The sequence below is a fragment of the Homo sapiens genome, chromosome 7, assembly GCF_000001405.40.
Source record: "Homo sapiens chromosome 7, GRCh38.p14 Primary Assembly".
Lineage (NCBI taxonomy): Eukaryota > Metazoa > Chordata > Mammalia > Primates > Hominidae > Homo > Homo sapiens.
The window spans coordinates 32,045,190-32,063,790 of NC_000007.14; the positions used below are offsets into that span (position 1 = coordinate 32,045,190).

Here is an 18,601-nt window from a genome sequence, read left to right on the forward strand (position 1 = left end):
TCACTCCCCTTCCCCCACCCCCAGCCATGTTTTACCTGAAATTGTAGTGCTTTTTGGCCCTTTCTCACATTAACTGCCCCAGGACTTGCACTTGCAGGCTAAGTCTCAGCATCCATCTGTGACTGGGGCTCTAACCAGACCACTGTGGCTGCTATAAAGGCACCCTGATTCAGGTGGCAATCTTGGAATGTAAACTGGACACATTCTCATGGCTGATGCACTTGTTCTTACTACTTTGAGACTGTATTATTAGTCATCACAAATGTAGGAAAATATTTGTAAAGGGATTTATCTCTTGGAAGATCCTCTTGTCCCTGATGTTACCACTTAGGCTCTGAAAATCAATACTACTAAGTAAGCAGTAGAATGCAGGATTGGTTGTGCATTAAGTTTGCAAAAATGTATGATTTGATTTATCCAGTGTCACCCCTGTTAATTTTCCCAACAAGTTACTTAGCTGCCACTTTTAATTGCAAAGGTAGGGGACAACAGTCTACCAATTCTATTTCAAAGGTGCTGAAAGAACTTCGGAATTAACCAATGGGCCTTAATATATCCTGGGAAGGAAACGGGCAGAGTTCAGCAGAAGATGTACCACATCCCATCCTAGGATACAACTGCTTAGCAGGCAGCCTCCCACAGGGTGATAACCACTCGCCTTCCCTCCCTTCACATGTGACAATCTATTATTACCAGCAAAGGTGGCTGTTGATGATGACTTATTAGCTATGTCAATTCATGAAGGCTGAACATGGGCAGGCCTGACTAAGGGAATCATTTGCTGGATTTAATCAATTACTGGGTTCATCAAGTGTGATTACTGAGCCACGTCAAAATCCAAGTGAAATAACACATTAGACATTCATGGAAAAACATAACTCCTTGCTTTGCCTTGCCACAGATAGAGGCCACACTATTATCTATATGTACAATATCCAGGTTATCAATTATCTGCACATGTCTGTATCCTGGGCTGTCTTCTTCCTAATGTCTAGAATATTTTTGAGCCATTTGCCTTTTTTTTAAAAAAAAAAAAGAAAGCCTAAAAATCAGCAAAACATACATTTTTAAAATAACTGAAAACATGAAGAAAACAAGAAGGAAAGATTCTGGGCTATCCTATTAGACTTCAGTATGCCCATACTTTCAAGCACCACGAATAATAAACAATACTGGAGGCTCACTTTATAATCTAGCGAGAGAAGAGTATATGATAATGTAAGTATCCTCCCAACAGATCTGATTGTTCCCAATGACCTTCAATACTTATATCTATTATAGCACTTACCACATTTTATTATAATCCCTTTGTTCACCTGTATCTCACCTACAAGCCTCTGTACCTATTAACAGAGGCAATTGTACATATCTTGTTATTTCCAGTATTTACTGAACTATATAGCAATATACTATAGTAAGTATTAAATAAACTTTTGTTAAATGGAAGATTTTTGTAAAGTACTGTGCATGTGACTATCAGTATAATATGATTATCAAAAACATGAGGGACACCTTTGTCTAAAGTTAATTACTCACAGAAATATGTCTAGATTTAGAAAATGAATAAATCAGACACAGTAAGAGCTAGAACTTCTACCTAAACTATCTAAACAGTGCTATGATTAATAACAAATAAACAAAAATGTTCATGCTAATGAGGTTGTTCATTACCTGGTATGGCTTTTTTAAGCCACAACTCCAACTCCTAAACATTCTGACCAAAGTATTTCCATAATCCAGACACATGAAAATTGAACGTGTGTCTGTAGAACTCCCTCAGGTTTGTGGATAGGTCTTTAATTTGTGCCTCTATTTCTTAATCCCCTATCATACTGAAATAGGGGTGTGTGTGTGTGTGTGTGTGCGAGACAGAGTGTGTGTGTGTGTGTGTGTGTGTGTGTGTTGGAAGCACCTCTATCATAGATTCAGCTTGCAACATCAGCTCTGATAGCAATTCCTTTCTTCAAGGGCAGCTCATAAGTATTTGGTTATTTCTAAGTATTTCTCAAAGGTATAAACTTCTGCAAGCCAGACCTGATAACTTGAAGGTGAAACTCTATTAAAAGAAACCGGATGAGACATTTATGAGTAAGCAGGTTTACAGCGTAATCCTCTCTAGCCGTCAAATTACCATTTCACCACTTCTGCAAATCTCTTGGAATGATTGACCCTCATGAACAAGATTCATTCACAAGCAAAAGGATAGTTCCCCTTAAATATGTGGATTTAAAACCCAATCCAATAAGGTTTTCTGTGCAAGGAGAGGCTTACCTACTACCTATTGATTCCCTTGCTAACCCGATAAAGAGGACTTATGAAATCACTCTTTCTACTGAAATTTGGTCTTGGAAGAGATTAGTATACTCTCCTTAATGCTAGGAGTGAGACTCAGTAAAATCACTATCATCAAAACATTCCCTTGGGCTACCAAAATATGCCTCGTACTTGGTGAAATACTTAAAGAAAGATAACTGCCTCAATTGTGTTGTAGTAGGATGACAATTACTTTGAAAGCTGTGGGTTTTTTTTTTCTTTAACAAGGTTTTGATAGGTAAACAAATACATAAGTGAAATAAAATGAAAGTTAGCAAGAAAAGCGTAAACAAATGTAGATTATTTTTGTATCCTGGGCTGTCTTCCCTTTGATGTCCAAATCAAACCTTTTAATATAACATTTATATCACTTAGTTTTCCTATATTAAGCCACCTACTTTATTTGACTAATTATTAACTCCAGCCAAATAACTGCAGTTAGAATTAAACTCACCAGTTAAGTCCACATTGCTGTGTTTATTCCTACCATGAGAAAGGAATCACAGCTATTCCCAGTCCAAATAAACCATCAAGTAGGCAAGCAAACATTCAAACAGACCATTACTTGACTGGGAGTGTCAAGATATATTTAAAATTGTCTACCATTCATCAAATGAGGAATCCACCTACTCCAAATCTACAGATCCCCAGAGAAGGTCTCAAGCAAGATTATTCTGAAAAAGGCTGAAGGTTTGCTCTATAGATTAAACAAGGCTGGAAATTTTTTAAAACACTTCTTTTATCAAGAGATTTAGTCTATGGTCCATTCTCTTGAATGGGTGGGTTCAGTGATAGCTTGACCAATAAGACACAGCAGAAGTGATGCTGTGCTCACTTCTGGACCCAGGCCATAATTAAGAGACTAGCAGCTTTTAATTCCTGTCTCTTAGAACATTTGACCTAAGAAACCAGACAAGTGCAATTGCCCTGAGCCCACCATGTAGTAAGAAGCCCAAGCCAGATGGAAGCACCCTGGAGGACAAAAGCCATGTGAGGAGAGAGGGAGAGAGAGAAAAAAAATAGAGAGGGAGAGAGCAAGAAACAAAAAGCACCAAGACTCCTAACGTGAGCAAAGATACTATCTTGGAAGTGGAGTCTCCATCCCCAGCAGCCCCAGTTGACACCAGGTGGATCAGATTCAAACCAGCCAGCCAAGTCCTTCCTGAATTCCTGACCTGCAAAATTATGAGCAGAATAAAAGTTATTTTAAGCCACTAAGTTGAGGATGGCTTGTAATTCAATGATGGATCAGAAGCACATGGATCTACTTCATATAAAAAATGTATTTCATTAAAAATAGAAGAGCTCAAACTGATCCTCTATTAATTCACACTTTAAATGACTTCAATAAAGCTTGTTCAACATAATTGGTTTATTTTTCATTACAGTGACAAAATAAAAAAAGGCAACAGCATTCACGTCAGATATGCAAAAAACACACTTTCAAAACAAAATTGACATTGTAATTTGAACCTTGACAGGTTTGAGCAGCTCTCTTGTAAAACTTCCTCTCACTGTCTAAGTATCTCTCCTTAAAATAAAATTGAGGCAACTTTGAAGCACCTCATACTCCAGGTTAACTACATGTGAAAATGATAAATTACTTTTTACTACTCAAGACTACTGTGCCCTCTAATCTGAGTGATTAATTTACATCCTGCTCAGTGGTTCACATGCAATTACTACCGTGAGTCCAACGAACCTGAACAAGACAGAATTGTTTAGCCATCTGTACAAGCTCTCACTATATTTAGAAAAGTACAGCAATCTCCAGGAAGCTTTCAAGTTTTAGTTCATTTTCCTCTCAATGACTCGTGCACTCTATGCTGCATATCAAATTATAATACCACTCCCTTGGACCCAAGTTTGCTCAACCCACTTTATTTTGTTGTTGTTGTTGTTTTGTTTTGTTTTGTTTTAGGCTTTTAGCAGCCTGAAGCCATGATTTTTAGTTTCTGTCTATAGTGATAAGAATAAAAGAGGGATGAGGAAGGGGCTTTACTGGCCCAAATAGAAACAGAAACTAAGAACTCATGACTGTATTCTCTCCACTGGACACCCCTGGAGGAGACCATGCAACACAGGAATCTCTACTGTGAGATGACGCTCATTAGAAAAGGCGAGACTAAAGCAGTGATCTAAAAAATGCCATTGTTGAAACCTACTGGCAAATTTTAATTGCATTAATGATTTTTTTAATCTGCATGTAATCTGTTTAATTCCATAACACCCAAGTCAAGTACAATGAAAGCAGATACAGGCCGTCTAGATTGAATTGTGGGCTTCAAATGCTTGGTCAGCAAAAGGTCTAAGTAACTTTATTTCCTAACTCTTCTCAATAAAAAGAATAAATATTACAGAATATAACAATGGAGTCACCTTATAATAAATGTGTCCTTAGGCAATATTGACATTGTGTGAAAATCATTAAGTGTACTTACACAAACCTAGATGGTATAGCCTACTACATGCCTAGGCTGTTGGTATAGCCTATTGCTCCTAGGCTACAAACTTGTACAGCATAATACTGTACTTGGTAATGTGGGCAACTGTAACACAATGGTAAGTATGTGGGTATCTAAACATATCTAAACATAGAAAAGCTAATGCATTGTACTACAATGTTACTGCAGCTACTATGTCACTAAGCAATAGGAATTTTTTAGCACCATTATAATCTTATGGGACCACCTAACTCAAGAAAAGCCTCCTAACATACATGAGGTCTACACCTCTAGATAAGCCTAAGATAATATGCTTACTAAAAGTTTATGAAAGCTCTTCCTAAGAAAGCATCCATGATCAGCTGGACCTTTAGAATCCCAACTTTGATGGAGAGTCATAGCTAAGTTTAAAGAATAAAGATGGAGGTTGGAAGTAGCAAGAAATGACGCTGGAGAAATAAAAGAGGTCATGGGAGACCGTCTGTGCCATTATTGTCCAATGAAATTTGTGAAAACAAATCATTGTAAAAAACAGAAAGCAGTGTATACAAGATGAACCAATGAATGAACAACGTGAGGTGATGAATATGTTAATTTGCTTGACTGTAATGATTTCACTATGTGTATGTATATATATATATACACATATGAAAAAATATCATACACTTTAGATATATATATAATTTTTAAAAGATGAACAAATGAATAAATTCCACGAGGAAGTACATGACATTTCCTAAGCTCATTTCATTATTCTATCATTAGAGAACCCACTCACCCTCTCCATAGTCACAACCTGTATGCATGCTCAAATACACATGCTGCTCCACCAAGTCAGCAAACTACATCTGTCAACGGGTCCTGTAATGGGGAATGAAAATCGCATATGCACTGAAAAATGGGCTTCCCATTGGACTTCGGAGGCCATGCACTCAAAAACCTGGTGAGTTATTTTTGAACTATAAATACAGAAGATTTAAGTCCAACATTTAATAGCCACATAGGTTAGGGCCAGTGACCACCTGATCCCTCATGGCTCCTTATGCCAAAGAGTGCAAAGCACAGCCCAGAGGCAGGCTGGGCACATGAGGGATGATGACAGATGTCATTCTAGTTAAAATTACCCTTTCCACAGTCAAATCGAAAGACTGCCACTGCCCTTAAAGGAATCTGTGCCTGTGCTTTGAGCTCAACAGCATTTTGTCAGCAAATCAGGCAAAGGATATTCTGAGACAAAGGAGAATTCAGACACTAAACATGTTATATAAAGACCGCTTTGTGCTCCCCATCCATAAACCTTCAGCCCCCGCCAGCCTAATCACTCTCTGGTCAAGGTTTTAGGAAAATCACTAGACAGCATGGCAGTAACAAGCTTTTGAGCCCACAGGATCTACTCTCTTGTGAAGGCATCCACCTACTGTGCCTCACTAGATGCCTGCAATCAATTTTTAATTACAGCAGCAGTCACGATCGGAGATAAAGCACGCAACATGCTGAGAAAGAACCAAAAGCCTGTTTATTACAGTTCCAGTCCACCATGAGCCAGACTTGTGAAGAGCTGGGCCACAAATGAATCAACCAGTTGCAGCTCAGAAAGACGTTCTTACCTCTGGGACGTTTTCTTATATTTCCTCCTGTAAGAAAAGGCATAAACATATATCAGAAAAGGGTTGTGGCAGGCAGTGGGTAAGAAAGGGATTACTTCAGTGGGGATGGGCATGGGGGTCAACACTTCTTAGGGGGGTTTCTCTGTGAAGCTTATGGGTTTCAAAGCTTAGTTAAAAGTTTGGGAATGCTGTGTTATATTGTAGTCAGAAGTACAGAACCTAAGCCTTTAGTAAAAAATAGCATCCCAAGAGCTCAGTGGCTCTGCTCCCATGTTCTTCCCTTTTCCTTTTGAAGGTTCCATGGCATTTTAGTTGAGGTCAGGCTTTAAAGACCACAAAATCTAGGTTCAAACCTCAGTCCTTCCTTTACCAGGTTCATGAGGTTCTTACAGAGTAAATGGACACAAGCTTACAAAACACTTCTTTTATCTGGCACATATTAAATGGGTTAAATGGTGAATAATGATCAGTTATTTATGTTGTCACTATCGTTACTATTATCCCCAACATCTAGCACTGAGGTCCCTTTAAGGATGTGCCTTTTTAAATGTAAATGTGCAATCATGCAGCTAAACTATGAGATGAGACATAAGGTCTTCAAAAAAAGAAGAAGTGAGGAAGGGGACAATGAGAAAGTCTAGAAGCAAATGTTGAGAACCAGCATTAGGAACCATCCCCAGGAAGCAGAAGAGACCCAGTTCCAGCCCACGTCTGTTATTTACAGTCATTTAGCCTTGGGCAAATCTTGTGCATCAGGCTTCTTAATCTATCACATGAAGCTAGTAACATCTGCTCTGACCATCTCACCTAGGTCAGAGTGGCAGACAAGGAGAAAATGGCCATAAAATGTATGTTGTCCCAATATCCCAAAGTTCTTCATATGTGTGTCAATTTTTGTAGACTCTGAAGACCCTTAAAAGAGTTTCAATAGGCTCAGCACTGGAGGGGATTAGAGGAGAGGAAGTGTTAAGGAAAGAAAATCCATCTCCTTGTAGCATATCCGGGAAGTACAATGTTTCCCAGTTGACCTTAGTTCCACACCAGCATTTCCATTACAGTCACTGTACCCAGGAAGCAAACCACTGGTTTGCTAATGGAGAGCTGTGTACCATATTTCTTTGTAAACTAAAGAGGTTTCAAATTGAGAATCACTAGGACCTGTTACATCTCTGTTAAAATGAAATCACACAGGGCAGTGTCAGGTGTGTAAAGCAGCAAGTAACACAGAACCTACAGTGTGGTCTTGACTAGATATGTAGTGATATCTATTTACCTGAAAGGAGACACACCAGAATGACAACCATGACTCCAGGGTAGTAGGATGACAAATCACTCCTTTTTAGTTTTATGAATTTTCCAAATTTTCTTTAAAGAGTGAGCATTATAACAGAAAAAAATATTAAAATATGGATACACCTAGTTACATATAAAGGTATATACAAATATAGGACTATATAGAGATATTTCCATGTTTATATTATATCACATATAATAGGGAGGAAAGTTGACTAACAGTAGATTAAGGCTTGGCCTTTGAAGCAAACTATCTATGTTCCAGTCTTGGCTCTAGCACTTAGCTTTACAATGCTGGACTAGTTATTAAATCCCCCTGAACCTCAGTTTCTTTGCATATAAAGTGGGAAGAATCAGAGCCCCTCTTCTGAGACCTTGTTATGAGAAATAAATGAGATAATTCACCTGAACATCAGCTCCCCAAGGGCAAGTTCTTTGTGTGGTTTACCTCATACTCTCCCCAAAAGCTATGATGCATGTGCACTGATCAATCACTCTCTCGCACCTGGACCCTGTCACCAATGACAGCTCACACTTTCCAGGCAGCAGCCAAGGGCAGAGGCTTCACCTTCAGCCATGGAGCATAGTGAGCTGTGGGTGTGACCTGTGCCCTTGGACTCATTAGCACAGCAGTCTAACAAACTGATCTAAGGTACAACTGGCAAGACGAAAAAATAACCCATTGAGCGTATACAGGGACCAAAGGCAAGGAGGCAGTTGGAAAAGAAGAATGCCCCTAGCCTCTACTCAGAAGCCCAACTAATCCTATCAGCAGACAGCATCTTCAGAGGTCAGAAGAAGACAGCCCTTGCTATTGGTTTCCACAGAATTCTCCCAATACTTGCCAAAGAAATCTATAAAGGCACTGCTGGGAGTTCTGAAAGAATCAAAGATGAACAAAAATAAGAAAAGCTTCATTTTCAGCACCTACTAGCAATAAGCACTTAATATACTTTGCTAATCCTCATAACTCTGTAGGATCCCCTCTCTGAAAGAGCGCAAATTCTAAAAAGGAAGTTAAGACATGCACCTAAAGTGTTATTTTAACAACAAATACAAGGGATGCTTTGTGAAAGAGGTAGTCTTGATTGCTGGGTGAAATGTCAGCAGGAAGAAATATGGAAGTATACAGCAAGCAGAAACAGAGGGCATGCCTCATGGTCTCAAACCAGTCCAGCAAGCAGGGACTATAAAGTGAGGTAGCAGGAAATAAGGCTGGCAAGTGCTAAGGACAGAGTTAAGTGGGAAGAGTAATAAAATTTATATTTTAGAAAAGATGATACCCAGGGGGAGTGTCACCTCTTGTGGGAAGCCGCATTACACACCCTCTTCTGTGCTCCCACAGCATGCTGAAACCTCTCTGACACCGTTCTCCGTGGCATTGCATTGTCTCATGTCTGATTTTGTGGAAAGGCAACAGGGCTCTGGAGTGTGATAGACCTGGCTCAAAACCTAACTTCACCCACACTAGCTATGAGACCTCAGGCAAGCTCTGTGCTAAATCAAGCTTTCATTTCTGCATCTGTGAAATGGATGAGATGATCTCAAATGAGATAGTGTATTAAATTTGTCATGTAGTGTGCCTGCCATGTAAGAGGCATTCTAAGATTTTTAGGCCCCTTGGTCCCTAGTTCTGAGCTTCTTGAGGTCAGAGGTCTGTCATATGCATCTCTATATCTATCCCAAGGGCATGCACGTTAACTGGCACATGGTTGGCTAAATAAATGAACTATTTGCAACTGTCACCCATACACATCAAAAGATGGGTTGTGCATCTGGTAGACCCAAAGAAAGACAGACCAGAAGTCTGATTTTCAGTCCAACTCACCTTCCTGACACGCCCCTCGTTCATAGATATATTCTTAGCTTCAGATATTGTAAAGTTTCCCCCTTCAATCTTCTCCCATTTAGACACAGCCCTAAAATCAACCCAAATGGTATCATCTTACAATGGAGTTTGGAGGTCAGCTCTTAAAGCACAAGAGAAAATGCAACTCATAAAAATTACTCAAGATCCAACTCTCAGATTATTTTGAATGGGCAAGATTGGTGAGGCCTGACTGAGCCCTACTCATCCTTCAGTTCTCAACTGAAACATCACTTCCAAAGACCTTCTAGGGCCCCCCAAACTGGGTAACACTCCTTCTGTGTGTCCCATAGTGGCCAGAGCTTACCCACCACATTGCACTTATGACTGCTCATGGTCATGATCTGTTATTCTTATGGAAAGAATGATGGCTTACCTGACATCTGCTAGTGTTTCTTCCTTGTCATGGCAACTGCTCAATATGTTGTTATTGAATTCATGAATGCATTTACCCAAAAATTGATCAAAAATGCTTTCTTTTTATTCTTTTTCCTTCTACTAAGCAATGATTTATAATGAGCAGTGAGGACATCCACCACAGCTGTGGTTTCCTACACACAGAGGGAAAGCAATGAGAAGGCTGGGGAGCTCACATTTGTTGAGCACCTCCTCTGTTCCATTCCTCTTACACAAGTTAACTCACTTACAACTCCTGCAAACCCTGAGAGGTTCTACCTACTTTCGACTTGACAGAAGTGAGTCTCAGAGAGGTTAAGTAACTTGCCTAAGGATACAGAACCTTAAAGTGGCTGAGACAGAAGGCAAATTCTGAAGCCTTCAAAGAAAATTAAGGAATGTATACAAAGAAGGCAAAAGATTCCACCAAGAAACTTAGACACTAGATAAAACCAAAATAAAATTAATAACAATAAAACATACTGCATTCTGTCCACCAAAATGCAGGAAATGAGCTGGAAAAAAAACCCCAGTTTATTCTTGGCCTTCTATTTTTAAGAACTTCAACAGAATCCCTGACTCGCAATCTGAAAGACAAAGGGAATTTTTTTTTGCTTTGTTTTGTTTTTGAGAGGGAATCTCACTCTGTCGCCCAGGCTGGAGCGCAGTGGCGCAATCTCGGCTCACTGCAACCTCCTCCTCCTGGGTTCAAGCGATTCTCCTGCCTCAGCCTCTGAGTAGCTGGGATTACAGGTGCATGCCACCATGCCCAGCTAAGTTTTGTATTTTTAGTAGAGATGGGGTTTCACCATGTTGGCCAGGCTGGTCTGGAACTCCTGACCTCAAGTGATCTGTCTGCCTCAGCCTCTCAAAGTGTTGCGATTACAGGCATGAGCCACCATTCCTGGCTTGTTTTTAAAATTTGTTTCTAAAACTTAATTTAAATTTGTAATATTTTGAAACTTGAAACAACACACTACAAATCTCAAGATTTCATGTAGCTAGACCAAGCTGATGTAGAAAGTAGAGAATGACAAAGAGCTGTTGTGTTCTGGGACCTGGCAAATTTGGCAGGGTGGGAGATGGAGAGGCCAGCTTCATGCTGGGAGAGAAGGCAAGGGCATCTTCACAAGGCCAGGCTGAGGACACCACTTCAAAGAAGGTCTAGAGTGGCACTTTGCAAAGTCTGTTCCCTGGAATGGGTCCACCGTTCTCTCTCTCTCTCTCTCTCTCTCTCTCTCTCTCTCTCTCTCACTGAAACACACACACACACACACACACACACACACACACACAGCTTCATCTGTTTGTCGTTTCTGTTTTTCTAAGGGGAGGCATTACAGCATACTGCTCAAGATCACTTGCCTGAGCTTTAATCCCTTCTCCAACTTATTGTGTCCGACAGGCTGCATGACCTTTAGCAACTTATATCACTTCTCCAACCACTGGTTTCCTCATCTGTAAAATTTGGGTAACAGCAGTGCCTGCTTTACGGGGTGATGTGAGAGTTAAATGTAATGATGACTGCAGGGCATTTAGCATAGTGCTGGGCATCCTGGAAATGCTCAAGCGTCAGCTACTGTACTAAAAACAGTAGTATTGCATAAATAATAATGGCATTATAATTCAGTAGGTTTTCAAAACTTACTTGATCAAAAATCTTTCATTGATTTTAAAAGTCACAAAAAAAAGGTTGAAGATTGCTTTTCCAGAATGGAAAAATTGGATACTCCCAATTTTCCTTATCTTGGAACACTTGAACCACAAAGAAAGCAGGTGCTAATCTCAGTTCTGCTAAGAGGAGAATGAGCTGAAACACTGCCCAGCTTTTCCCATGCATAAGGGGCCGTGTGCCTGCCTGTACACCCTGCCACCCACCCCAGCAATGTCCCACTTAACCTAGCAGAGCCACACACTCCCCTTAAATGTCAAAGCTGAGCCATTGCCCAAAAGGCAGGAGAAAAGAAAGTAAAACTGGATAGTTATGAACTGGATATCACAATAATCCTTGGAAATATCTAAAATTATCTTTCAAAGAAAGTCCTTTTTATCAATAACTCCCTAAAAACTGAGCCCAGTGACTTGCTTACACACATCCTTAAGCAGTCTCAGGAAGTTGTAACTCAATGCGGAGATCTCATGTGCTATGGCTAGAATTATTGATTAACCCATACTCATTTAGCTCTTAAGTAAATTAAAAGACCACTAGTCTTAATGTCTGTTTATGTCCGGAATGTTTCAATGGAACTGTGGATTACCCAAGAAGTATTAAATGATGCATGTGTGTGTGTGCGTGCACTTGTGCACAACAGGGGACATGAACCCCAAAACCCCCCTCAACGGCTTCGGTCCATTTACAGGCAGCTGGTCACATCCTGACAGGCAGATTCTGAAATAGGAGCATCATCAAAGGGCAAAGAGCACTGACCTCCAGTATTTAAATAGGTTCCCCAAAGCTCTCCACGGCAGTGTCATAAAGTGGAAGCTTCTAGACCCTGAACTTCATTTTCCTTCTCCTGCCCTCAGTCAGGGAGATAAAGAATGAAACTAAGCAAGCTTAAGGGGTGATTCTGTCCACAGTCAGGGGCAAAGTAAAGATAAGCAGGCAAACAGCGAGAAACAACAGTGAGGTGGGAGCAAGGATGCTTTTAAGGGTCTTTATTTGCTTTTTGATGGCTAGGAGTTCCCAGAGTACTGGGCACACCTGCAGTCAAATGTAAGCATCAAGTACTCCAGAATCAAACAGATGATTTGGAAATTGTTTCTAATAGCCTGGATAAGTGAGAGTCGATTAAACATTGATGCTAAATTATGAAGCGCCTGGCAGTCTTTCACTTTTTTAAAGTGAGTATCTTTGAACAACAGCCATATGGGTGCTGCAATAATGAGGTTTATAAATAGGCTTAATATTCTAACAAGCTGGCTTTGAAAAACCAAAACTTGTGCTCTGTTTCTAAGTTGACAGAAAGATACCTCCCAGTTGGGCACAAGATTTCCTGGTATGGGAAGTTGAATATGCAACAACTGCATACACACAATGCAAATTCCAGTTCTGCCTTCAGTGTTCTCCAGGGTTTCTGGGTAACAATGACTCACTCTTCTCCAAGTCCTATCCTGTCTCCATTCTTTTCTCCAGAGACCACTACCACCGCCGACACACAGACCGCTTCGGAAAGCTTGGTTCTCAGCCCTCAGTTCTCTCAAGGGATAGGACATTGAAAGACAGGCTCAGATAAAAACAAAATGCACAGCAAGGCTCGTGTAGTTAACTACAGGTTCTCATGAGTACAGATCACATGTGTTTCACTCATGGGAAAGTGGACTGAGATAAAATGTCACAAATAACCATGAAATGAGTGAGGATCTGAACGATCATCTGATCCTCTGGTTTTGTTTTTCACTGGCATGCAGGGTACAGGTTGGAAAGAATTGGATATCTCTAGAAACTTCTAATGGATCTCTTACATCATTTGTATGAATTAATCTACGCGCTACTGAGAATGGAAAGTCTTTGTACATTTCTTCTCATTCCTATCAGTGATTTCATTTCCATGATGCATGTATTAAAAACTAACTTTGCAAAGCTATCCATTGCTTCCTGGCCTTTCCCATATTTTGAACAAGTAAATGCTAATGAGAAAAATATATACATAAACTGGTGGTCTCTTGACACCTTCCACAAGAATATTTAAGGGTGAGAAAGGAGATAATAGAGTAAGAGAATCTCCTGTCTTACTAGCTCGAATATTTAACTGATGAGCTACAAAATGAAATTCCATGTGCACAATGATTTCATTTTCCTGCCTGGCCAAAAGTCCAAAGCAAGACAACAACAACAACAAAAGATTATAAAATGGAAAAAAAAAAAACCTCATTTTTACCTTGAACAGCCCAATCATTAGGAAAGAAAAACTAACAAAAACAAAAATTCTAGGGAATTTATTAGCTAGGTTTTCTAGTAGAGAAAATTGTTCTACAGACTCATACTGTCATTGAATTATCTTAGAAAAGGAAGATCATATTCAGAGATAGCCAGCTCCCAAACATAGAGGACTCCAGTATGTTTAGCCAAAAGTGATGGATCAAATTCACATGAAGGAAGCCTTTGACAGTGTGGTTTGGGGGTGGGGATGGTGACCCTAAAGAATGGGAGAATGCAAATCTGAAGCAGAGATGTAAATAAGACAGTCAATTTTTTACTCTTTCTTAGGAGCAAGTGCATTTCTATCTAGTGCTGGCCAGGCAGTGGAAAGTAGAGAAACCTAGGAGAAGGTAACAAACTCCAAACTAAACAACCCCACAGGAAGCCCCACCTGGGGCTACACCAACTCACATGGCAGACCCAGGCTGCCCCAGTGCTCCTGTCCTCCCAAAGCAAGCCCCACTCTTCACTGATCTCCCTCCGCATCCCCTCGGCTGCCTGCAGACAGCTGGCCAGAAACAGAAATCAAATCTGCTGCTCATGCCTGCTTCTCTCATGAGCCTGGATTAAAAATTCCAGCACTTGGACTCCTATTTAAGAAGCCCTAAATGGGACCCCTCCCCAAAGAAAGCTGAACTCTTCCTTTGGAAGGCAAGATTTTTTTTTTAGCAAACCAAACACAATTTCCTTTCCTTCTAGCTAAAAGCCTTTTGCTCAAAGCTGGGCAATGAGCTAATCAGTGGCACCAAGGAAAAAACAGGGAAAGGTTTTGAGAGAAAGAAAATAGAAAGCAAATGTCATGCTTGTGGAAGCCCAAGTAGTACGTTTTTTGCATAACTGATTTAGTCCTCTATTCACGTATTTACAACCACTTGCTGTGTTATAAGTACTGCAAAACTGTGTGGGTGGGAATGGAAGCAATTTTTACGACCTTCTTCCTGGGAGCCCGTCTCCTGCTTAAATAAACATCAGTAAGAAAAGCTAAAAGCAAAACTATCTCTTAATATCTGTGACGGCACTGCCAAAGTAGATATAAATCCAAAGGATTAAGACAAAATCTCACTCTTCACAGATCTATCCCTGTAATTAGGGGAGGAGTAGGGTTTTTTCTAATTGAATTATTCACAGAGCTGTTTCAATTCTCTACTTTGTTTTTCCCCTTGTAGATTTAGCCAGAACAAAAACTGTAATCTTCTGCTGAATTTCACTTCAATGTCAGTCTAATTTTTCTAAGTCTTGCCTACCCACTCCTGCAGTGTTCCTTCCCTCTCCCCACTCTGTGCCCTTCCTCCCAACTCTTATCAAAACTGACTCCTGGCAGAAAGCAGCTGCTGGTCATTTACAATTCCAGGTGAATTTGAATCAGTGCCATGGCTCCTTGGGAGCATGAGTCCTTCCTATTTCATCCAAAATCCTATCTTGTAGTAGCATCATCTATGTAAGCCTCCCTAAACACACGCTCTATAAATCTCAACAATTTAAATATGGCAAAATGAGCCCATTGTCCAAAATACAGGGAAAAAAAGCGCCAACTAGCAGATGCATTTCTTGGGACCATTTTGAGCTCTTCTGTCAACTGAAATCAGATGAGCATTGGAAGCAAATTTTCCTGAGCTATAGTAGTTACCTTCACTGAAACTATGCCAAATCTCCCAGAAATTGGTGCTTTGAACGATTCTTTCATTTTTTTTTTAACAATGACTAATTTCAGTCAGTGATTTTATAGTCAGAATGGCAGTTCTGAAACAACATTTATGAGGCTTGATTTATGATAATTAATCCTTCTATTTCACTAATGAGCTAGGAAAGGCCTTATTTATGAAAGTGTTTAAATTCCTCACAGTTAGCAGACACGGTTTCCAGTGACACCCACATGGAATGGTATACTAAATGCAATAAACTTTTGTGGGTCATCCTTAGACAAAAGTCAGAGAGACAAATGAAAACAAGTGGCAGGATGTCAGTCGGAATTTGAACTACTCCTAAAACATCTGGAAGGAGCTTTCAAAGATTAATCTTTCACTTCCATATTTACTAGATGTATCTCTAGAGTGTAGGAAAAGTCTTGGTTATTTAAGCATTTTCTTTGGTTGGAATCTGGATAAACAACAGTTTAATGGTCTTTGGATATCCAATTGTGACTTTCAGACAAAATGCTCCATGCACTCTCATACTGATTGTCTAAATTATTGCTCTTCTGGTGGCCTTAAGGGAAAGGAAAGCTGTATTTTGGCAGAATATTGAATACCGGGTCCTTGCAATGGGTCCTTGGATTTGGGTAGAAATAGAAGGAAGGCCTTAAAGAGCAGAGAAAGGGCATGAATGGGCAGAGGTGGTACAGTGAGTGAGCGCTGTGGCCAGAACTGTGGACTGCTCCAGGAGACAAGGCCCAGCCATATCCATGGAGGCACCTCTGGAGCAGGCACAGGAGGCCAAGCCCCCTCAATGGAGCCTAAACTGCAGAAAGGCCTCTTGCCAGAGCCAGAGAGCCTCCACGCAGCCAAGCTTCACTTGGCCCTTCTGCAGTGGGCTAGGCTCCAGGCTTCAGGTCTCAGCCCCATGGCATGTGCCCTCTACCTCCCAGAAGGTCCGTGATGAGGGCTCATCCCATTTGGCTCCCTGGGTCATGGCCTCTTTCTGCCCTTGGAATACTGGGAATGACCATACTGGTTTCTGTCTCTGTTCCAAACCTATGTTTTGATGGGCATGATACCAAGTAGTCAATATAAGTTTCAAGTAAAGTTATGATTATTAGCTGGCCTAAGTAAATGCCAATATTTTGAACAAGTAAATGCCAATGAGAAAATATACATAAATTTTTGGTCTTCTGAAACCTTCCTTCAGACTATTTAGGGGTCACACTAAACTGTATTCTCTACTTACAAAATTTATAGATATATTAATTTGGCATCATTCAGATATACACAGAATTTTCCTGCTTACTTTGCTGGGCTGTAGATTATATCTCCAGACCTGTTTAATCTCCAGACTCACTTATCCAACTGCTCTTGCCTTCCCCATATCTCCCCTCATAGTCAGTATGTCCCACACTGAACTCATCCCATACTGAACTCTCTATCCCCCATTCATTCTGTTCCCACTCACGACAAGACCTGCAAACATGTTCCTCCCTTAGTGATCCTAATCTAAGAAAAAAGAACCTGGGGATTCAAGCCAAAACCCTGCGAGTTGACCTTAATTCCACTTTCTTCCTCATCCCCCATATCCAAGTCCTGTTGGATCTACCTCCTAAAAAGTTCTCACATCCATGCCTACTGATAATGGCTTCCCCTTGCTGAGGCCCCCTGGTGGATGAAGTCGGACCTGGCTCCTCTCCAGCTGTGTCTGGAGCCTTCGCCTCCTTCCAGTCTGCGCTGCAGCCACTTGGCCTTCTTTCATTTTCTCAGAGGGGCCATGCTCCTTCTTGTCTTTAGATCTTTACAGGTATAAACATCCCAGGCCTTAAATGCCTAGAATACGCTTCCCTAACTCTACTTAACTACAATTTACATAATCTTCATGTCTCAGCATGCGTCTCTTTTCCTCAGAGAAGCCTTCTCTGAATCCCGGACCAGGTTTGGGTCCTCTCTTCTATGTTTTCACAGCTCCCTGTGCTGGACTTCTTGCAGCACTCGTCACAGCAGGTAGTAATTTATGGAAGTATTGTTTAATATATTCCTCTACTGTAGGCTGAACATCCCCCGAGGGAGGGAGCCTTTGTCTTGTTTCCCACTAATTCCCTGGTGCTTAGCACAGCACCAGGCACATAGTAAGTGCCACAGAAATATTTGGTAAGTGAATGAATGACTGAATTTTCTGCATACAGATGTGTATTCCTTCAACTATATGAACAAAACTCATTACCTAAAATGATCAATTTTTATATCTTCTGGATGGAATGATTCTCTTTAGTTTTTTCATAATCTCACAAGCTAGGAACATCTAGCTTTGTCTTACGGTCATTAAGACTCATTTATTTTGTTTAATAACAGCTGTCAAGAGGACTCTGTATAAACAGTACAATAAAAGCCTGAAGAATACCAACACTTTACACGAATTCAGTATACTTCCTCCAGAAATAGAGTGTTGCATTTGTTGTAGAATTCATTTTTATTGCTAGTGGGAAACTCCGATGATGGTCATTCTCAAAGCTGTCCCAGTCTATTGTAATGTGCCTTATATTTGTTAAGTTGGTGCAAAAGTAATGCGGTTTTTGCCGCTAAAACTAACAGCAAAAACTGCAATTACTTTTGCATTAACCTAATAACAATTATTTCTTTTAGTTGTTTCTCAAAAATCCAGGAGATAGGTCCTATAAACACTTTTCTTCCATGTGGGGAAATGGAAACCAAGGAAAGTAGTCTTCCATGAGCCAAAGAAAATTAAAGATTGAAAACTAGAGATGGTAATGCAGAAACCTCTCTGCTGAGGGCTGCTTCCCAACTGACAGAGGAATGCTGTAAAGCTCAGTCAAGATATTAAGCACTTTGCTGCTAAATATTGAGTTGTAATTAACTAATACACTAGCATAACCAAATTACAATAATCAAGTGATGATGTACTAGTAAGCTGCATGAGTATTCAAGTAAAGAAAATTTCACTGTAAATGTGAGAATCTACTTCTTTTGATATTCACATTTTTCCCCTTTAATATACATTAAGAATGTATTTCAGAGAGATTTAACTTGATCTTTATTAAGAAAAGAAAGACTCGAAAACAATCCTTCAAACACAAATGTCTCCCTTCTCTGAATCCTAG

The 18,601-nt window shown here is 40.2% G+C and overlaps 1 protein-coding gene across 25 annotated transcripts in view; it reads right to left on the reverse strand.

Moving 5' to 3' along the window:
* PDE1C (phosphodiesterase 1C) overlaps positions 1-18,601 on the reverse strand; it is an 811,448-nt gene that overhangs the window by 428,413 nt on the left and 364,434 nt on the right. For 16 of the 25 annotated variants that reach the window (XR_007060044.1, XR_007060042.1, XR_007060043.1 and 13 more), the window contains 1 exon segment: positions 6,365-6,391. The exons of the other annotated variants lie outside the window; for them this stretch is intronic. Coding sequence is in view for 13 of the 16 variants with exons in the window: in XM_047420443.1 (XP_047276399.1) it covers positions 6,365-6,391 (27 nt within the window). In the remaining 3 variants the exon portion in view is untranslated. 25 annotated transcript variants of the gene reach the window in all.